This window comes from Homo sapiens, chromosome 1 (assembly GCF_000001405.40).
Source record: "Homo sapiens chromosome 1, GRCh38.p14 Primary Assembly".
Classification (NCBI taxonomy): domain Eukaryota; kingdom Metazoa; phylum Chordata; class Mammalia; order Primates; family Hominidae; genus Homo; species Homo sapiens.
The window spans coordinates 12,439,719-12,462,168 of NC_000001.11; the positions used below are offsets into that span (position 1 = coordinate 12,439,719).

Sequence of the window (22,450 nt, forward strand, 5' to 3'; positions counted from 1 at the left end):
GTAAGTTTTTATTGATAGGAGGGAAGAAAGGGAAGAAGGAAGGAACAGACAGACCCTTGGAGTTAGGCATTATCTCCATTTATAGATGAAGACACTGAGGCTCTGAGAAGTTTCCCAAGATCACGCAGCCAATAAGTGAAACCACTTTGAGGTCACACATTTGAACCCTAATGTGTGACCCCAGAGCTTTTCTGATTTCTACTTTACTGTGCTGTTTTCCTATGGATGCCTCACCCTCATTTATGTCTGCAGTGAATATTGGCTCTATGAATTTGTATGCACATTTGTAGTGATATGAACACATTCAAATGTTTTAAAGGGAATACTGCATTAGAATCTCTTAGCTCCCTAGATGCTGCCTGTTGGATACTCCACTAAGCTTTCTACATTGCCGCCCAAGAACAAGTGATGCCTGGGCTCCTCTGAGAGAGAGAGGCGCTGAGAAATCTGTAAGCAACCGTTACTAAATATGTTTGCCATATTTCCAGTTACATCCAGGCTTTTCAGTATTGAGGGACATCATTTTGTGTTTTGATTCCTGGCATATTTGCTATCAGTATATGCTTTGGGGGTTTTCAGTGAATGAAAAATAAGAGGTGGTGTCAGCAATAAGTGTAGAACACTCTTAAAAGATATGGCTGTAGAGGGAAGAGCAGGGCTGGAGCAGCAGCTTGAATGCGAGGGAAAGCTAAAGGCAGGCTTTTTTAAGGTTGTGTAGATTAAGAGGAAGAGGCTGCAAAGATTGAAGCGATGAGAAAAGAGATGATTGACAGAGCAGTAGTAATATGCAGGACAGGGTCTTACAAGAGCACAGAAGAAGGGTTTGAATTCTTGGAAGAGTCAGTCTATTTATGCAATTTAAAGTGAAGGAAGGAGGCCAGGCGCGGTGGCTCACACCTGTAATCCCAGCACTTTGTGGGGCTGAGGTGGGTGGATCACTTGAGGCCAGGAGTTGGAGCTCAGCCTGGCCAGCATGGCAAAACCTCATCTCTACTGAAAATACAAAAATTAGCTGGACGTGGTGGTGGACACCTGTAATCCTGGCTACTCGGGAGGCTGAGGCGTGACAATCACTTGAGTCTGGGAGGCAGAGGTTGCAGTGAGCTGAGATCGTGCCACTGCACTCCAGCCTGGGCAACAGAGCGAGACTCTGCCTCAAAAAAATAAAAAATAATAAAATTAAAAAATAAAATGAAGGGAGGAAAAGATTTTTTTTTTTCTTTCGAGATGGAGTTTCACTCTTGTCACCCAGGGTGGAGTGCAATGGTGCAATCTCAGCTCGCTGCAACCTCCGCCTCCTGGGTTCAAGCGACTCTCCTGCCTCAGCCTCCTGAGTAGCTGGGACTACAGGTATGCGCCACCATGCCCGGCTAATTTTTGTAATTTTAGTAGAGACGGGGTTTCGCCATGTTGACCAGGCTGGTCTCAAAACTCCTGACGTGAGGTGATCTGCCCATCTCAACCTCCCAAAGTGCTGGGATTACAGGTGTGAGCAACTGTGCCCAACCAAGATTTGTTTTTCTTAGTGAAGTAAATAGAATCTGTCATTTGTATGAAATGGGGATGGAGTTGAAAAGGAATACAAAGCAAATCTCTATTGCACTCGAACTGTGTTTCAGGCACTGTCCGGGGCGGGGGACAGGGTACAAAGATGACCAGGGTGGCCTCCTGTCATTAAAGCATGGACGCCAGCTTTTCAGCATTGTATGCAGCACCCCAACCAGCCTTGTGAAGAAAAGAGATATGAACAAATGGTCACACAACAGTCGGATACCCACACTCAGAAAGCCACGTGCAGAGGCAGCACAGTGGGTAGAAGCAGTGGTTTGTGTGCATGGACAGGCATTCCTGAGGACCAGGTCGAAGTTGAGAAGTCACAGATTTGAAGGGTTCCTGCTGGTGGCAGGAACGATAAAAGTAGTAGCTGATGTTGGCACGACTCCATAATGAGCTGTCCCCCCACCTTCCTGCTAGATATTTCCATCTGGAGTCGCAAAGATCTTTCTTCTTCAATCCAAATCAATACCTTTCATCTGTTGTTTTCTGTTTAAGCGATAGCAGTCATTTGCAAGATATCATTGGTCATCTAAAGTCTATGTGGAAGGAATTAACTGAAATTCATTACTTGATCAGAGAGTATTTTTTGGTCCCATCTTTATTTTGCTTCTTTTTCTTTTTTTCTTGCTTCCCAGGCAATGCATAGTCCTTATACCACTTTATCTCCATTTGCCTTTTCCTATCTTTTTTGCTGTTATTGTCATGTATTTTAGTTCTACTTATATTATGCTTAACCCTCATAAAACATGATTTTTTTAGCTTAAATAATTGATATAATTTAGATCTCTACACATATTTATCCTGTATATTGGTACTTTCTGAGTTTAATTTTAATAAGCTGTGTCCTTAAACTTTTTAGAGTCAGATCTCTAAAACAACACTATCTGATAGAAATTCTCTTGTCAGATTAAAAAAGTAGAAACAAGTGAACTTATTTTTAATGTTTTGATTTAACTCATTATGTTTCAAATATTATTTCAATATGTAATCAATATGTAAAAATTGATTTATATTTTTCCCACTGTCTTTGAATTTATTATATATTTTATACATTGTATAGCATATCTTAATCTGTAGTACTAATCACCTTCTAAGTGCTCTGTAGTGTGTCAACTTATTGGACAGTGTGGCTGTAAACGAAGGTGAAACTAAAGTTACATGAAACAAACTTATATTGTGTGTTTCAACAGAAGAGTTTCAAGTTTCTGTGGCTAACTTGTTTGAATATACAAGTTATTATAATTCTCCATTACTATTTAGTCAGCTTCTCAAAACTTTTGCTAAGTGATTGTTTCCAAGATTTCCCTTACTTTTTTTTTTTTTTTTTCCTTTTCTCTGTAGACAGGGTCTGGCTTTGTCACCCAGGCTGGAGTGCAGTGGCATCATCACAGCTCACTGCAGCCTTTACGTCTCCTGGGCTTAAGCCATCCTCCCACCTCAGCCTCCTGAGTAACTGAGACTACAGGTGCATGCCACCACGCCCAGCTAATTTTTATAGAGACGGAATCTTGCCATATTGTCTAGATTGGTCTTGAACTCTTGGGTTCAAGTCATCCTCCCACCTCGGCCTCCCAAAGTGCTGGGATTACAGGCGTGAGCCACCATGCCCAGCCTAAGGTTTATTTCTTAAATTGAATTCTGCCTTTGGTAGCATGCTTAGAAAACAAGTTCCATTACATTTTTTAAATTGTAGAAGAGTTGATCATTAGAATATTGCGTAGTATATGTTCAGTTTAAAGAATGATGAAATGAAAACAAGGACCTAGCACTTAGCTTAGACAGTAGAATATACCAGTACTTTTCAAGCCTTCCAGGTGACATCTTCTTCCTTCACTTTATACCCTGAGGTGTTCACTGTCCTGAATATTGTTTTAATCAAATCTTTCTCTTCTGTTTACAGTTTTACCAAACATATATTTTTAATTCTGCCTGTTTTTAACTCACATATAAGTCATACTGAATATATTCTTTTGTGACCTTTTGTCACTTACTGTGACATTTTTGAGATTCATGCATGTTGATATATGTAGCTGTAGTTCATTCATTGTCACTGCTGTATAGTATTCCATTGCAGGAATGTGCTACAGTTTATTTATTTTACTATTAGACATTTGGACTGTTCCAGTGTTTTTGCTGGCATGAACTGATGTTGTTACAAATATTCTTGTTCATGTTTCCTGCAACACATATAAAAGTCTCTCCATTATGGGAGTTACTTGATTAGAGAGTATTTTTTGGTCCCATCTTTATTTTGCTTCTTTTTCTTTTTTTCTTGCTTCCCAGGCAATGCACAGTCCTTATACCAGTTGACCTCCATTTGCCTTTTCCTGTCTTTTTTGCTGTTATTGTCATGTATTTTAGTTCTACTTACATTATGTTTAACCCTCACAAAACATGATTTTTTTTTTTGGCTTAAATAATTGATATCCGTTAGATCTCTACACATATTTATCCCGTCTGCGTCTTTTATTCTTTTCTTTGCCTATCCATACCTCCATCTGGGCCCTTTTCCTTCTGCTAAAGAACTTCCTTTTGTGGCTCTTATGGCAATGAATTATCTCAGTTTTGTTTTTCTTTTTTTTTTTTTCTTGAGATGGTCTTGTTCTGTTGTCCAGGCTGGAGTACAGTGGCACAATCTTGGCTCACTGCAACCTCCACCTCCTGGATTCAAACGATTTTCCCACCTCAGCCCCCTGAGTAGCTGGGATTACAGGCACCCGCCATCGTGCCCGGCTAACTTGTATATTTTTTTAGAGACAGGGTTTCACCATGTTGGCCAGGCTGGTCTTGAACTCCTGACCTCAGGTGATCCGCCCGCCCATCCCAAAGTGCTGGGATTACAGGTGTGAGCCACCGTGCCCAGCTTCAGAAAACATCTTTCTTTCACCTATATTTTTGAAAGATATTTTTACTATGTTTATTCTTTCAGTCTTTTATGATATCATCCCATTGTTGTTCCATCCATTTCTCTTGAAACAGCTTTCAGTATTATTGTTTGTCCTTCAAAGGTAATGTGTCCTTTTTTTTCTTTGACAACTTCAAGATTTACTCTTTGTTTTTAGTTTCTATTAATAATATGCCTCGATATGATTCTCAGGCTTGGGATTTGTAGAACTTCTTGAATTTGCAGTGAAGTCTTTGGACGATTTTGGGAAACTCTTGGCCAGCGTCACTTTAAATATTGTTTCTGCCCCCTTTTTTTTCTTTCTTTTCCTTCTGTGACTCCAGTTATGCAGAATTTGGACCTTTTTTACTATGTCACTTACACCTCTCATGCTCTTTTCTGTATTTTCACCCCCTTGGTTTTTCTTCATGTTTCATCTGGATATTTTTTACTACCTCATTTTCTAGTTTGCTAATTCTGTCGACTCTGCTGTTTCACCATTTACTAAAATCTTAATGTTAGTTTTCTGGTAAAACTGTCCATCTTATTTTTCTTCTGAAGATAGTAATCATACTATACCAGTGATGAATCTTGTATTTTTTTTCTTAGTCTTCAGTCATTTAGTCCTGTTTTCTTACATATCTGGAAATTTTAATTGAATTCCTGACATTGTATAAGAAAGATTTTAGAGGTTCTGGCCAATGTTATTTTTCTCCAGAGAGGAGTTAAACTTCTTCTTTCCTTCTACCTCAGATACCCAGTTTTTAAATTTTCCCCCATGCATACCTCCCCTGCATTTTTAACTTTTTATTTGCGGCAAGGGGTAAATATTAGCAGGAGTTTCCCAGAGGGACTTGTATTTTTGAAAGGATCAAAGCCTGATGCTTAAAGGGAAGAGTCTAGAGGAAGGATTCTTTTTCTTGGGATAGACAATAGAAAGATGAGGTCAGAGACAGTGTGTGTGAGGTAGAAAGTAATCAGCTTCAACCCCTGGAGTCACAACAGAGGACTTAAGGAAACTGAGTCCTGAAGAATCCGTTCTGCTTAAGCAGGAAAGTTGGTGAATCTTTTTTATAAACAAGGGTTAATTAGTTCTCTTCTAAGTAAAAAGTACATTGAACCAGATCTCTCATTTTCCTATCTTTCTAGTCGTTGAAGGTTTTCTCTTAAAATCAACAAAAGGCATCAGGATAGGCCGTGTAGCCACCTTTGGAAAGGGCAGATGTTGAGTTAAGTGGATTCTGTTCTCTTCCATAGTCCAGGACTTTTCAGACCTGAAATCAGTTAACCTGGAGATGACTAATTCAGGTTCAAGACACCAGATCTGCTGGAAGTAGATGGGTGTGAATTTTTAATGTCCTTTCCCAGGTCACCCTTTGTGGATTGAGAGATAGCAAAGGTTGGAATGACGACTGAAAGGCCACTGAGGAATCCAAGGGACATCCTAGGCAAATCCTAGGCAAAGACCAGAGGTTTCTGAGGAACTGTTGGGAAGTAGCTAAGCTGCAAGTTTATTCCTATTTTAGCCCATCTGAAAAAAAATGGGAACATTTGAGTTCATTTTTAAAAGAACCTTCTTTTGACCTTTCATTTGAGCCTGGGATCAAGCCAGTTTTCTAAAGAAATGAGACAGGACTTAATTTAAGTACCTTAGATTTGAACTACCTCCCATTCCCATTCTACCTCCTCTGCAAAAGACAGGTTCAACTTCTTTGTTCTCCCAGATGCTAAAGACCAGTTCCCAATTGGTGGTCTTACCCAGATACATGACACTTGTGTATAAATAACTTCCCTGGACATTGCTAGAAGTGAAGTATCAGCTTTGCATGTGTAGCTTTCCCAAAATGCAGGTCTATCCTACCCACCACCATAAAAAGTTAGTTGTTAGAAACAATAGCTTAGTTTCCACTGTGAATGGTGTATTACTCTTAGATGGGTCAGGGGTATTTTGAATAGCAGAAGACTGGCAAAGATCAGCTGGACATGGTGGCTCACACCTGTAATCCCAGAACTTTGGGAGGCCAAGGTGGGCGGATCATGAGGTCAGGAGTTTGAGACCAGCCTGGCCAGCATGGTGTGAAACCCCATCTGTACTAAAAATACAAAAATTAGCCAGGCATGGTGTCGCGTGCCTGTAATCCCAGTCACTCAGGAGGCTGAGGCAGGAGAATTGCTTGACCCTAGGAGGCTGAGGTTGCAGTGAGCCAAGATCATGCCACTGCACTCCAGCCTGGGTGACAGATCAAGACTCCCTCTCAAAAAAGAAAAAAAAAAAAAAGAACAATGGCAAAGATCAAGAGGAATGAAGATTGAACCAAATGAACTTTCAAAATCTTCTTTTTTTACCCTAGGAGCATGGTTGGTTTTGCCTGCTTTCTCTCTATAGTCCTCTTTCTCTCCATAGTCCTCTTTCTTTCCATATCCCCCTATATTTGTATCTCCATATATGTCCATTACTGGTACATGAAACAGGCCTTTCCAGAGCAGTAGCTTCTTTTGGAGTTAGTTTGCTTGACCAGACCAGCTCTAACTTAGCAAATGTTTTAGCTTTGGTGTTCTACGTCCTTCAGGAAATCATTCTCCTATAAGAAGCTGGGGTGGAAGAGGAGACCTCTCCTCCATAGGCAGCACCTCTTGAAATCACTGGTCCCAATCTCCACCCCAGTCTGGCCTCCATCTTTCTTCCTAGTATAAATGGTACATACTAGTAATGTAAGCTGGTGTGGTGTGATGTGATCCACATAACGGACATGTACCAAGCCTCCTATTTCTTTGGGACCTGTTTCAGATTGTCAGAGTAGTAGCTTTGGGAAAAGAAGTAGATTCTAGGCCACGTGGCCTCCGGAAAGGTCTGGGTGATGGAAGTGGGCCAGGTGTCTGAGTTACGGATATGGATCAAGAAAGAACACTGGAGCCTGACTCCTCTTCCTTGTCCAGATATTTGCATGTAATTTTTCAGAAATTTTTTAATATACTTTTGTCAGCTGCCTTCCTTTGTCAGTTCTGCTACTTGGGAGAGAAAAGAGATATGCCTGATATCTCTGTATAATTTTCACTGGCATTTAGGAAGGAATTTTTCTACGAAGACAATAGCAAAAGTCATGGTTGGGTTACCTCTCTAGGTTACCCAGTATCACACATAGATACTTAGCAGACTTTTGCTGGAAATGCTCATGGTCTTTCCAGCTTTATCTGTAAAATGAGCATAATAATACTACCTCACAGGATTGTTGTGAGGATTAAGCTAGTTAAATATTTCATTGATGAGAGGCCCCAAAGACAGTGGCTGGCACATGACGAACGTTGTTGGCTGATGCTTATGATTCCAGAAGTTCCACTGTGGTCTTCAGTACTTGGAAGTTTGCCCTTACCTACTCTGCCACACACTCATCTAAAACTTAATTTATTTAAAGAAATAGTTGGGAACGGATTTCTTTCTAAAAACCTCAAAAAACTTATTCCAAACCCTTGAAACCTATTTTACTTTTGCCACAAGAAGCTCAGCTTATACTGGTGCCCAGCATCTATGATTATTCTCTCTGATGTCATCAGCCTCCTTTCTTCTAAGCCTTTGGCATTAAAGTGAATATATTTATTCATTTGAAATAAATACAAAGTACTTTGTAAGAATGGAGGTCTTGTGACTAGGAAGGAGATCATCTTGAGCTTCTTTTCTGTTGAGGAATGTTCGGTTTCATTTCTAAAGTTCTGTATTTTGCGATTTTAATTGACATATTTATGCTTTCCTTTGTTCCAGAATGGGCATGAGGTGATTTCCATAGTTTAGGATGAGACATGCAAGATTCAGTGGGGGAGAAAGAGGAGGGAACCGGAGAGCACTCATTGGAAGAAAGGATAGGATTTCCAGTAATAACCCTTTGATTTGTGTTTTTTTCCAAGTGCTTTCGTAACCAAGGTCGCCGTGGGTAACTCCATGGGTGGTGTTCTCCCTGTTTTGTAGATGAAGACACTGATTCTAAAGAGAGTGTGTCTTTTGCTCATGTTCACCCAGCTGATACTAATGACAAGAGTTGGCATCAGGACTCTGCTTTTGAGAGCCTGTGTGTTTTCTTGGAGTTGAAATAAGTTATCTGCCAAATCAGGCTTTATGGTGTGACCGCCATAGAGGGAATTTTTTTTCCTGCATTATAATCTATCTCCTGGTTCAGTACTGAGGCACAAGCTATTTATGCAAAAACCTTGTTAGAATGGCAAAACAGGAGCTCTCATGGGGTGGGAAGGCATATTCCCCATGGCCAGTGCTAACTGTATGGAAACCTGTCTTCAGGCTTCCCTCTGCATGCTTCATGGGGTTTCAGCAACAGACAAGTAGGGGTCTGGCATTTTCAACATAAGCATACCCCCCTTCTGCCAAAAAGTCCTACACTGGGTCCTAGCTGATGAAGAGCTGAAAGGCAGGACACAATTCCATCCACAGCTGGGCTTCAGGATTCATCCTTCCTTCATAATTCTTTATAATCAATGTAGAAAAACTATAGGGAAAATAGGATTTGACTAAGCCCCGACTTCTCTATGTTGAAGATCAGTTGTCTTGATTCTACCTGTGTACATCCTGCTTATTTCTGCGGTTTTTACTTTATAGCATACTCCACCAATCCTTTTTAAGGAAAAAGCAAAATCCTATTATGGGAATGCTTCAAACCACTCTGAGCTTCCAGATTAATCTGAAACAGCATCTGAGTTCACAACTGGGTCAGAGTTGCAGAATAGCAAGAGAAACTTGCCAGTTCAGCAGGCGTGTGTCTTGGGTTAGTTAAGACAGCAGGACAGTCCTGAGGCCTGACTTCCTTGCATGTGTTTCAACCTTGGGTGCTGAGATAATTCTGGGTGGCTTTAGATAACTTTGTTTCTTAACTGAAAAAGGAGTGTCTGTTGCCTGATAAGTGTTTATCCGTGAAATAGCAACATGGTGTGCATCTTAGGGTAGGAGGGCTTTTAGATCTCCAGAGACCAGGAAAAAAAAAAAAGCAAGGTCATTGGCTTAGGCATATTACTGGAATTAGGATGTCAGTCCCAACTTTAAAATGCCTGTATTGTTTTTATTCAGGGTCCCCTTTCTGGATTCCTCCCCTTTTTTTCTCTTTGCCTTAAGGGCTATACATAATCCATAACCAAGTAGAACTGAAAACAGACAAAAGCACTCCTCTTCTAGTGGATAGAAATCTGGAATCCAGAAATGCTTCCTTCTTGCCAAACCTCAACTTGTTCCGTGCCTTTTTTTTTTTTTTAAATGCCTCTTCCCAGCCTCCCCACCCTTTCGTGATTTGGCTGAGTGAGGACTAGCTGTTTGGTTTGCCTTTTATCAACAATAGATATTCACTGCTTTTCAGGTCACATTTTCCTTTAACTCTTCTCTGTTTATGAGTATCACAAAAGGGTTCTTCAACATCAAGGCAAAACTCACACTCAGAATACTTTTTAACTGTGGATATTTTGACAGTATGAAACGGAAGTCAGTGGTGAAGACTTTCGTTTTGAAGTGACTTAGGTCTTACATGACTCAAAGATGGTTTTCCTAGTAGTATACCAGCAGAGTTGAAAATGACTCTGAAATTGAAAGTCCCATACTACTTCTAAGAAACTTGTAAAAAGTGTTGGCCAAATGCTACACCAAACATTTTGCATTAATTATTCTCTTAACTCTTCAAAACAGTCCTTTGCAGGCCAGGCTCGGTGGCTTATGCCTGTAATCCTAGCACCTCGTGGGGCCGAGGTAGGCAGATCACATGAAGCCAGGAGTTCAAGACCAACCTGGCCAACACGGTGAGACCCTGTCTCTACTAAAAATACAAAAATTAGCCAGGCGTGGTGGCACACAACTGTAATCCCTGCTACGGGAGGCTGAGGCATGAGAACCGCTTGAACCCAGGAGGTGGAGGTTGCAGTGAGCTGTGATCGCACCACTGCACTCCAGCCTGGGTAACAGACTGAGACTCAGCCAGCAAAAAAAAAGAGCAATCCCTTACAGTAGAAAGTATGTGATTTTAGCAGATGGATAAACTGAGGTTCAGAGAAATTAAGCCTCTTCCACCAGCATGCGTGTTTGGTAACTGTCAGGGTAAGATTTGATTCCTTTGCTCCTGCTTGTTTGACTACATCGTGGCAACTCCCACAAAGTTCATGGCAGCCTTACTTAGAGGCACAATAGATAGTTGGGTTTTCCAAATTTATGAGTTCAGACATAGCTTATTGCAGACAATGCTGATTAGAATTAGAGCTGTGCTGGTAGCTGAGGTTTGCAGCTGTACAACCTTGTATAGTCTCTGACTTGTGGTGGTTTAACTTACAATTTTTTGACTTGACGATGACGTAAAAGCTATATGCATTCAGTAGAAACTGTACTTCAGATTTTGAGTTTTGATCTTCCTGGGCTGGTGACATGTGATCCGATTCTGTCGCAGTGCTGGGCACTAGGGCAGCCGCAGCTCCTAGTTAGCCACGTGATCATGAAGAGGGAACAAATACTCTACAGTGGGCCCTGCTGCCAGATGACTTCGCCCAGCTGTCAGCTAATGTAAGTGTTCCGGGCATGTTTAGATATGTTAGGTGTATGAAATTCATTTTTACTTAAAGCCTTTTCAACTTAAAAATGGGCTTACCCGGACGTAATCCCATCATAAGTCAAGGAGCATCTGTACTTGGAAGAATATAAAACTTCTCCATCACACTACGGAGTCCTGCCACTTCTCTCTTTTCCTGTTGTATTTGGTTACCATCTTCCCTGGTGACAAGGAAGATACTGCCACCAGCAATTACTCAGTGAGGCAAAGATATTAAAGAGGAAATTTCCATTAGGTAAATAACTGTGAAAGAAGAACCCAAGAGAAGGGAGAGAAATTCAAGCCCCAGCTCCTGTTACACTGGCCAAATGCCTTTGGCACCCCATGCTTGCTGAAGATCATAAAAGGGTCAGGTAAACTGATCAGACAGAACAGAGGAACACAGTGTGAATTTTTTCCCTTGCCCCATTCCAGTGTCTACTTGAATTTCAGTTTTAGAAAATCAACCCTTCGGAGCCAGGCCCCAAACCCAGGCTAATTTGCAGTGTCTCCATTTGTGTAGACAATGAGATTATTTTGGGAAGGAGGGTGTTGACAGAGTGTGTGTTAGCTATTCAGTAGAACTGGCATCTTGAAGTACTTCTGAGATTTTTACCCCCTTGCTGAAAATATTGCTTTATAGAAGTTAATGACTTTGGACTGTGGCCAGAATTCACAAGTATGGCATGTGTTGAAGTGAAAGGAAGGGGAAAATCATTGTCTTTGTGAGTGTAACACTAGATTTTCTGAAGGACATTTTGTTCCTTGGAACCTTTCATTTTAGCTAGAACAACATGCACTTGAAGCCTTAAGTATTTTGTGGACTTGAGATTGCTACAAAATGAGGTAGGCAGACTTAAGTCTCTGCAAATGCTCCTTCTGGTGTTAAGGTATTATAACCAAAGAGTTACAAATTGTCTGCAGATTACCTTCCAGTTGCTAGTCGCTTTCCCAGTTTAGAAGCCTAGCACACCCTGGTGCTGTTATGCCCTGCTGCAGATAGCTTCCGCTTTGCTGGGGGGATATGCCATGCCAGATGCTTTACGTGCACACTATCCCTGAATCCTCAAGACAGTCCTGCAGAATCTGATTATTCCCATTTTGCATATAAAGAAGTCAAAGTTTAGATAACATAATACTATTTTTATTGAATGTCTCATATGTATCAGGCTCTGTGCTATGTGCTTTACATGTATTACCTAATCCTTACAGCATCTTTGTAGGGAATATTTGTATCCCCATTTTGAAAAGGAGGAAAACAGAGGCCCGCAAAGGTTACTTGTCTGTGATCTCATAGCTGTTGGGTGTCACAGTCAAAATTCAAACTCAGGTGTGATTATCTTTCTATTATGCCACATCCATACTTCCCTACTGAGGTCTTGAAGGCAAGAGACAGAAACCACTTCTGATTTCTGATTCTCTGTCTCTAGCCTGCCGTACAAGTAGGGCTTCTGCACATGTTGGATTGCTTGGTTGACTGGGTGTGTAGTGGATTTGTACTTGCTCATATCGGGACTCATTTTTCCTTCGTCTGAATAATCTGGACCTCTATCTCCAGGCTTTACTTGTCACAAGACAGTGGGAGGATGGGATCATGAAGGATGGCCTGGGCCAGTCACTCCCTACATGATGGTGTAGCTCTTTTGGGTATCTCTGCCCTGTTTTGATGACCATCTTCAAAGTCAAGGACCTGGGTAAAATAGTGCTTCCAAGCTTCAGAGAAGAGCAAGGCCAGAGGGCACCCATGATGAGCACCACTGGAATTCCCTCCCTCCACAGCCCACTTGTTTTCTGCTGTCTTTGAGGGAGAAATAATGGCTGGGCAGGACTTACCTTCCCACTGAGGTGGGGAATGGGGTAGAATTAAGGATGCCTAACTAAATGCCTCCATAGTAAAAGGAGGCCACATGCTTTATGGTAGCCTGGATTCAATCCTCAGAGTGCAGTGAACTGGCCCAGGGCCCTGCCTTTACCACTGTATCCATCATTTGGCTGGCTTTGGTTTAGTTTCTGTAAAACGTCTTTCCCAGTAAAATCTGATTAACTACTCATCAATACAGGTTTGGTTGGATCATAGATTTCAACATCTACTCAAGTTTTCTGGGTTCTCAAAGCTGTATTTCTAGGGGTGAAGACTTTTGTAATGGTTGACTGTTAACAAGTGGCAAAGGACAAGTCCAGTTGGCTTGCATAAGCAATTTTTTATGGACAGAGAAACAGGAATTCAGACAGAAGTCCTACAGTAAGTTGAGATAGGTGTAGGTACCTTTCCATGGCAAAGGTCTTCATCTTACGGAAGAATCCAGCATTAGAGGGAAGAGTGATCTCTTAGGTCATCTCATCCCATCCTCCTTGGGTCAATACATTGTCTTTGTATAGAGAACACCCAGGACCCAGTTGGTGCTGGGGAGCTGAGGCTGCCACAGCAGACTTAGTTGGAAATTAAGCTTTTGGCATAGGCTCACTCATCAACTTTGGATATTAATTGATGGGAGTAGAAGAAGAGGGAGTGATATTGGGTATTCTGCCTAGATTATTCTCCCATATTCTCTTGGTGGGGGAGTATTATAGGATTTTTAACTTCCTCCTAGTTAGCTGCCAGCGATAGGTAAAGAGCACTTTACCCTATCTGTCTTCCAAGAAAGAGAATGTAAGCTCTTAGAAAGAATATAAGAGCTTGAGAGAAACAGGAAAGACCTGAATAAGACCCTGAATTGGCTGCGGTGCTCCTGGGTCTCTTCAGGTGGAGATGTGTCCCCTGGAGACACACAGGACATGGGCACGCGTCACTTAACTGTGGTTCTCACAGCGTCTGGGGCACCAGAGAGACACGTTTTTGTCTGGAACCTGAAGAACGCTGGCAGCCTACATAATTCTAAACATAGCAGGCACTCTTATTGATTCTTTCCAAAACAAAGGTCACATTTCCTTTCTGTGTAGTTTGTGTCCTGGGTTCCTGCTGACTGTTTTGTGTATACGATTGTTACCTTCTCAAAGAGACTGTCAGTTCTTGAGGGCAGGGTTCAAGGCTGCTGTTTGTTTGTGTTCTTCAGCAGTACCTAAATCTGTCCTGGGCTCAGAGGAAGTATTTAGTAAAGACATTCTACCTTGGGTTGTAGGTCACACAGTGCCAGAGCTGGAAAGGATTTTGGAAATCGTAGAGTCCAACACTCTAATTTTGTAAGTGGTACCACTCCAAAAACTTACTTGGGAGGCTGGTGTTTATCTGCTGGAAAGAGAGGATTTTATTATGTTAAACTATAGTGCAAATGACCATAATTCTAAACCTTTGACAGGCTTCCCTCAAACGCTGCAGGCATGTTCCTCCTTGGACTAGTAGCAGAGTAATAAGAACAGTAAGAATGCTAACTAGATACCAGGCCCCCGAGCCATTGTCATGAATGCTTCCAGCCACATGACAAAGTAGGTACTCTGGCTATTCTCCAGATGCAGAGGAGGCTCAGAGGTAGGTGACCTCGCTCAGGGTCATGTAGTTACCAGAATGGTCGAGGGAGGACTGAAGTTTGGTCAGATGCCCCAGCTTGTGGCCCTTCTCCTATACTGTGGTAACTCTCAGATGGGGTCTCTGACTGAAGCCACTCCTTAGTGATTCACGGTGCTAGCTTTGCAGCGTCGTGTGGTGTTTCCAGTTGTCCTAAAGGAAGTTATTAATTTTCATTAACTTTAATTCTCTCATTAGACAGGCAGTGATATGGAAGGCAAGGCAGAAAGCAAACAAATAATGATAGGGGTTACATCTCCAGAAAGGTCAGGAATCACTGCCCTAGGTTGTAAAATATTTGGACTGAGTAAAAGGCATGAGTCTTCCCATAGCTTCTTCCAGGAACTGTTGCTTTACATGGAATTGCTGCTGTGTTCACTAGTCCCTCTTCTGTGCCCAGAACTCACTGTCACATGTGTCAAGAATCCTCATGACTGAGGTTTCCAGGGCAGATCTGATCTGTGTAACACGCACCCTAACCCCCTTGCCAAAGGAGAATGAAATAGGCCCCTAGATGGCCACCCAGTTCCTGGGCCTTCCAGGCAGGCAGCTTGCCTTGAGGCTTTCCCCTGAGCCTTGTATCTAAGGAACATTCCTGTGAGTTTTCTAAGAGGTTAGTCCTGGGTCATTGGCACTTAAACCACTTGTTTTGGTAGATCCTTCCTGAGAAGGTTAATTATATATTTGATATCCTTCTCTTTTTATGCCTGAATGATGAGGATAAGTACTCTGTGGTTTATTAACTGTCACTTTAAACCTTTTCAGATTGTCTTGTGACAAAACAGAGTTTTATGTCCTTTTTATCCCAGCTTTGATGGATGAGACAGCTTTTCTGGTTAAAGTATGCCAGGATAAATAAAATCTCTGAATTGTGGAAAGGGTGGGTTTGCATTTGAAATCATGAGTTCAAGTCTGCCACCTCCTATGAACGGTGACCTAACCTGTTAATCTTTCCATCGATTTCGTTTTTGGCTTTTGACAAATGGAGCTTGGCACCTCATAGGTACTCAGTAATTATTGAATAAATGAAAGACAGCATTACTGGAGGGAGTTTGATGTCTCCAAATATTTGATACCAAACCCTAAAGCAACAATCTGACACATTTCCTGTTTTGAATTCCACTAATTCTTAGAGCAAAGAGCCTATGTTCTTACCATGATACAGTCCTGAAGCTCACTTCTCCCTCAAGACTATTTTGTTATACCTCTGATTTTTTCAGTAAATTTGGAGTAGTATTCTGGAAAGTGAATGTCATTAAAGATTTTTAGTAGTTGCTTTGCAAAGCCTAGTGTCCTCCATTGTATGCATCCCCCAATTGGTATGTGTCCAGTCCTTTTGAGAACCACTCAACCTGGGGCAGACAGTATAGGTAACTGCATTTAAAATATTTAAATTTATTTATATTTAAATTATTGGCCAGGCACAGTGGCTCACGCCTGTAATCCCAGCACTTTGGGAGGCCTAGGTGGGCAGATCACTTGAGGTCAGGAGTTCGAGACTAGCCTGACCAACATGGTGAAACCCCATCTCTGCTAAAAATACAAAAATTAGCCAGGTGTGGTGGTACACACCTGTAGTCTCAGCTACTCGGGAGCCTGAGGCAGGAGAATCACTTGAGCCTGGGAGGCGGAGGTTGTGATGAGATGAGATCACACCACTACAGACCAGCATGGGCTTATCTAATTGTATTTAATTTAAATTTATTTAAAGTAATTCAAATAGTAAAAATAGTGCCAAGACTTTAAAACTCTTCTCCTGCTTTTAACTCCTTCTAGTTTGCTGGAACATTATCAGATGGCTTAGGGAAGACGATGGACAATCGGCATCAGTCAGAGCGGGAGTACATCAGGTACCATGCAGCCACAAGTGGTGAACACCTTGTAGCCGGCATCCATGGCCTGGCTCATGGTAAGTCATGGGTGACATCAGGCTCTGCTGCTGCTGGTCCTCAGAGGCGCCTTTGTATCAATCTGATTGCAGCTATAAAAAAAGAAAGGTGGGCTGGGCGCGGTGGCTCATGCTTGTAATCCCAGCATTTTGGGAGGCCTAGGAGAGTGGATCATGAGGTCAGGAGTTTGAGACCAGCCTGGCCAACACAGTGAAACCCCGCCTCTACTAAGAATACAAAAATTAGGCCAGGCACAGTGGCTCAATCCTGTAATCCCAGCATTTTGGGAGGTCGAGGCGGGTGGATCATTTGAGGTCAGGAGTTTGAGACCAGTCTGGCCAACATGGTGGAACCCCATCTCTATCAAAAATACGAAAATTAGACAGGCGTGGTGGTACATGCCTGTAGTCCCAGCTACTCGGGAGGCTGAGGCAGGAGAATTGCTCGAACCCTGGAGGCAGAGGTTGCAATGAGCTGAGATCGTGCCACTGCACTCCAGCCTGGCAACAGAGCAAGACTCCAATTCAAAAAAAAAAAAAAAAAAAAAAAAGAAAAGGCTGACAACAGAGGAAATCCTGTGTTGGCGTACCTGATAGCCTTCCAAGCTCTCTTACTTTATCCTCCTTGCAGTTGAAATACGACAGCCGGTGAGAACTCCTCATTCGCTTTCTGAATGTTGTGCACATTGCAATTCCTTTTCGTTCTCTGGCTTCTGTTCCCAAAGTATCATAAGGTGTAATCAACCAGACCTGTTCTTAGAATTGTAGCTGCTACTTCTCTTAGAATTGTAACCTCTGCCTTCTCCTTACTGATCATTCCTTCCAAAGAAATTGAAATGAGGAATTTGTGGCCAGGTTTGTAGCCCAGGTGTTTTTTAGTTTTACATAAATGTGCATTCACTAAAATTATAAATTTATTTGCCTAAGAGATGTTGGTGATGGCATGAATGCATTTGGTCTCTGACTTTGAATTCTTTTAATGCTTTAATTCTGAGTCATTTGCCTTTTGTTGCATTTTTCTTAACAATTTCTTAGTACGGCATCCAAGGCCCTTGGAACTATAAATCCAGCCAATTTTCCAACCACCATCCTTCAGCCATGCTGCACTTTGGCCACACACAGCTATGTACTGCTTCCCAGGTGTGCTTCCAAGTCCTTGCTCACACATGGTCCTTCTGCTCTCCCTCCTCTGCCTCATTTCCTTGTCTATCAAAATCCTACTCAGCCTGTAAGTCCCAACTCAATACATTTTCCCAGCTCTATTGTCCCTGTTAGAGTTAATGACAGAGCACAGTCTGGGTTGTGTATGTCACCAGCTGTGTACATCTGATAGATTGAGAATGTGAGGAGGGGAGAAGGACCACTTTGCATTCACCTTTCTCCTTGTGTACCTCACATGACACCTGGCACATAGCTCATGCATAGTAAGGCTTAGTAAATTAAACTCTTTGTACCAGATCCTTAGGAACCATCCAAAGCTATCAGAGTCATATCAAGACTGATCAGTATTAATTATCTGCATTTGGAAGAAGAGGAAGGAATATAGACAGTAAAATATTATATTTCTATTTGTGCTTAGGACACGTTTAGAATAGAGTTTTTGTTTATCAGCTTTCCTAATGGTGAGATTTGGATCAAAATGCCTTTGCTTTTCCTAAGGCTGCCCAACCGTAAAGGGAGCTGTCCCTAAGGAGACGTCAGGCCAGAAGTGAAATTTGGCTGAAAGTAATTTGTTTATGGATTTTAAAAGTTGACTGTTGGGCAATCATTTGGGGTTAAGGTTTAATCATTCTTTCTCGTAATGGTAATGACAGTACATTGGACTCTTAGAAGACTTTTAAAATGAATATAAAATGCTTTGTTATGTGTGGTGGCCTTTATCTGGCCAGCATCCTTGTGACGTGGAGAGAGCATGGCTCTCCTCACTTTCTGGATGAACACACAAATGTGCTGAGAAAATGCATGATTGGTTCAAAGTTGCAAAATCACCTCCCATCAAGAATCATTCCTATAATATGTACAGCCTCTCCAGGAGCCAATGGCTTCATCCAAAGAGGATCCACTGAGCTCTGGGTTATACGAAGGCAGTATCCTAGAGTGAGAGTCTTCCCTTAGGATGAAAAGACCTTTAGAAGGTGATAAGAACCAGAATCCACTCAATCCCCTTGATGTAAGAAATGGGAATTGTGCTCAGTTCTCTCTGCAGGCCTTGCTGGACCCAGGTTCAGTCATGTTCTGTCTCTCAGGTCCCAGTCTGAATTCCTGTTCTGTGTGTGCTCTGCCAAAAACTTTGTTCAAAAGTTTGGGAAAGGGCTGGGTGCAGTGGCTCAGGACAGTAAGCCCAGCACTTTGGAAGACCTAGAGGGAGAATCGCTTGAGCCCAGGAGTTTAAGGCTGCAGCAAGCGGTAATCATGCCACTGCACTCCTGCCTGGGTGATAGACGGACACCCTGTTTCTAAAAAAAAAAAAAGTTTGGGAAAGAGATATTGCCTCACTGGAGCAAATTTACCCAGAATCCAAAAGAAATGTTGTGAATTGTTAGTACATTCTCACCCAAGGAGTTTCCTTTACCAATTTGTCTCACTAGAGCTGAAGAGTCTAGAGAGCTTCCTCACACCCCACTGTCAGAGGGTAAACATCCTGTGAGTGTCCCTGGCACAGGTCCTGGAGATGCTCCCTAGACGGGCTGCCTCTTCCCTTCAGTGACTGTGACCTCTTCAGCCTCTGCCAGCTTCTGGCCTCTTCTAAGGTGTTTTCAGCCATTGCTGTCAACTTGCAAAATGTTTGGAATGCCTTTTTGACCTGGATTGGTCTTTTGAACTGACTCCATTGAGGGTCCCAGCCAGCTTTCACAGCTTTTTGGGGTGCTCTTCATGAAGGTTTTATATAATCGCCGATACCGAATTTCATCAAAGCATGCAGTAGCTTTTACCTTATTTCAAGCATCCAGTGGGGTTGGCCAGTCACCCCCATAGTGTTCTTTGAAAATTGCAAATGTATACCATCAGCTCTCCATATCCACAGATTCAGCCAACCATGGATGGAAAATATTTGGGGGGAAAAAAGATTTCACGAAGTGCCAGAAAGCAAAATTTGAATTTGCCACACGTTTCAAATACTGTATTGACTCCACACAAATGAAGTGATATGTGGGCATCGTATTAGCTACAATAAATAATCTAGAGGTGATTTAACGTATACAGGACGGTGTGTGTAGGTTATATGCAAACACCTACAGCACATTATGTAAGGGACTTGAGCATCCTAGGATTTTGGTATCTGCAGGGGATCCTGGATCAATCCCACATGGATACTAAGGAACAACTACATTTAGTTATCTCTCTCTGCCTTAGATATCTTTCTTTTCTTTTCTTTTTTTTTTTTTTTTTGAGACAGTCTCGCTCGGTCGCCAGACTGGAGTGCAATGCTGCGATCTCGGCTCACTGCAACCTCTGCCTCCTGGGTTCAAGCAATTCTCCTGCCTTAGCCTCCCGAGTAGCTGGGACTACAGGCACGCATCACCACGCCCAGCTAATTTTTGTATTTTTAGTAAAGATGGGGTTTCACCATGTTGGCCAGGATGGTCTCGATCTCTTGACCTCGTGATCTGCCCGCCGCAGCCTCCCAAAGTGCTGGGATTATGGGCGTGAGCCACTGCGCCCAGCCTCTGCCTTATATTTCATAGGATGCCATCATCTTCAAACTTTCCCCGAAGGCCCAATTTTCTAGTCTCCTGTTGATTTAATCCTCTATCTGTATCCTCTCCTGATCGTCCGTAGGCTGCCCAAGCTCTGGGATCGAAAAATTGGCCACTGTTAACCTCTCAGCTTTTCTCTGATTTTTTTTTTTTTTTTTTTTTGAACTGGAGCACACTTTACTTCTGACTAACATGTAACATATATCCTCTGACTCTGGACTTAATGGGCAAATCTGCAGGATCCTCTTCTGTGAGTTGGCCTGTCTGTGGCCTCTCTGGCACAGAGATTAATAGAATGGCCTTAAGTTATCATTCCATAATCAAGGGGTTTGGCTTTAAATGCTTTTGCTTTTGTCCTCGTCAGGTTACAACAGCCCTTGTCTTTTTCACTAGGTATCATTGGTGGACTGACCAGTGTTATAACTTCGACAGTGGAAGGTGTGAAAACAGAAGGGGGTGTCAGCGGTTTCATATCTGGCCTTGGAAAAGGGCTTGTTGGCACTGTAACCAAGCCAGTGGCAGGCGCCCTGGATTTTGCATCAGAAACAGCCCAGGCGGTGAGAGACACAGCCACACTCAGCGGCCCCAGGTCAGTGGTGTGGGAAGAATGGCTTTTGCAGTTTCCAGCCTAGGTCTGCTGCTTCTCCTAATCCATACTGATGTGTTTAATTGTGCACTTTCTTAGTTATAGGGTTTTTAATTCAAATACTTGTAACTGAAATTTCTGATCTGCCTAATATAAAAAGATGAAAATGAGGTACAGAAACCTGGCATGAATTTTTTCAGATAAATATATATATAGCATATTTTATATATGCTATATATTTTATATATGTATGTATATATAGCATATTATATATAAGTATGTATAACTATATTATGTTATTTTTCTCCATTAGAGAGGTCAGAATTAGGATTAAACTGTTAGAAGCTTCTTCTGTTCACCAAGCCAACTGGATCCCCACATGCCTATGAAGAAAACTGTCAGATTGTAGTCTGGTTCTTACTCCTACACCCCGTGATATAGTTCTAGAATCCCCACTGTTGTTGTTCACCATGTGGGTCTGTTCCTTCTTAATTTTCCTTCCGCTTGAAAGTATCAGCCCCAACCCCATAAAGAAAAGTGCCACCCCCCATCCCCCCAGCAGGTCAGCAGTTCTGCTGTGGGATTGCTGTCTGGCCTTGATACCAGCTGAGACTGGAAATCAGGGACAGCCCATATGGTTCCAAACCCCACAGAACCCAACTGCTTTAACGTAGCTGTTTGCTTGAATGGCCTATTTTAGCCTCCCTTTTCCAGAGTGACTAATTGGGGATTCTTATCAACAAAGGGTATAATGAATGTTAAGGGCCCAGCCAAGCTAGACTCGACTTAAGCCCAGAAGGATTTTGCTGCTGCTTGGATAATAGATTTTCCCTGAGTGAATTAGTACGCCCTTTTAGAATGCCTAGGGCCTGGCCCACATCCACACCCTATCACTCCCTCAAATAGGATGTGAAGTGAAATTGTCCCCAATTGAAGTGAATCCATTTGTCTGTCACCAGGAAAACTTACTGAAGACACATTACTGCAGTAGGGGAAATGCTCCGATTGTGGACTGGGGCCATGCAGTGTGCTGTGCCAGAATGCCTTCCATCTGGAAGCAGCTGAGTAAACTCTGTATGGTTTACTTTAGTTAAGTTACATTCTATTCTCAGATACAAAACTAAAACAATCCTTGAGTATATTTTGAAGCATTTATGAAGTTGTGGGGAGGGGCAGGCAGTGAGGAGGCTTCGAAAGTATTTCCAGTTAGTTTTTCCATCTCTGCTCGAAGCCCAAGAAGTCCACCTCCAGTATTTGTTAAGATAATAAGACTTAATGAAGTGTAAAGCTGAAGACGCCTAAGAGTTCCCAAAGAAGCATGTGTATTCTTAAAATGTCAAAATAGCCAAGGGATTGGTTGATTAAAAAGGGTTCAAGGTATATGTGATAAATTTTTTAAAGATGATTTTGTGCTGTGAAGTTTTAATAATGTTGACGAGAAAGAAACGGCTTGAATTTTATACATTGTCAGCTTGCAAGTCTTCATGGGGGTTTTTCATTCTTTTTAGGAGCACAAGTAATGTAGCCACAGTCACTGCAGAAAGAATGTCTTTGAGAGGGACATTCTTGTCATTTTTATTAGTTGTTCAACATTGCCACAGAAGTTTGATTTTCTGTCAGCCAGTACATAGCTGCCATTTATTCATTGCCTGTCAGTAAATAGTGATTGAAAATTTCCTATGAACTCAGGGTTGGGAATAGCAGAAACCAAAACTGTCTCTGGTCTCAAAGAGCTTATAATCAAGCAGGGCAGCAAACATAAAAAATTATATAAA

The 22,450-nt window shown here is 42.1% G+C and overlaps 1 protein-coding gene across 2 annotated transcripts in view; it reads left to right on the forward strand.

Moving 5' to 3' along the window:
* Positions 1-22,450, forward strand: part of VPS13D (vacuolar protein sorting 13 homolog D) — a 282,018-nt gene that overhangs the window by 209,689 nt on the left and 49,879 nt on the right. For both annotated transcript variants that reach the window (NM_015378.4, NM_018156.4), the window contains 2 exons: positions 16,280-16,412; positions 20,483-20,678. In NM_015378.4, coding sequence (NP_056193.2) covers positions 16,280-16,412; positions 20,483-20,678 — 329 coding nt within the window. The remainder of the gene's footprint in view (positions 1-16,279; positions 16,413-20,482; positions 20,679-22,450) is intronic.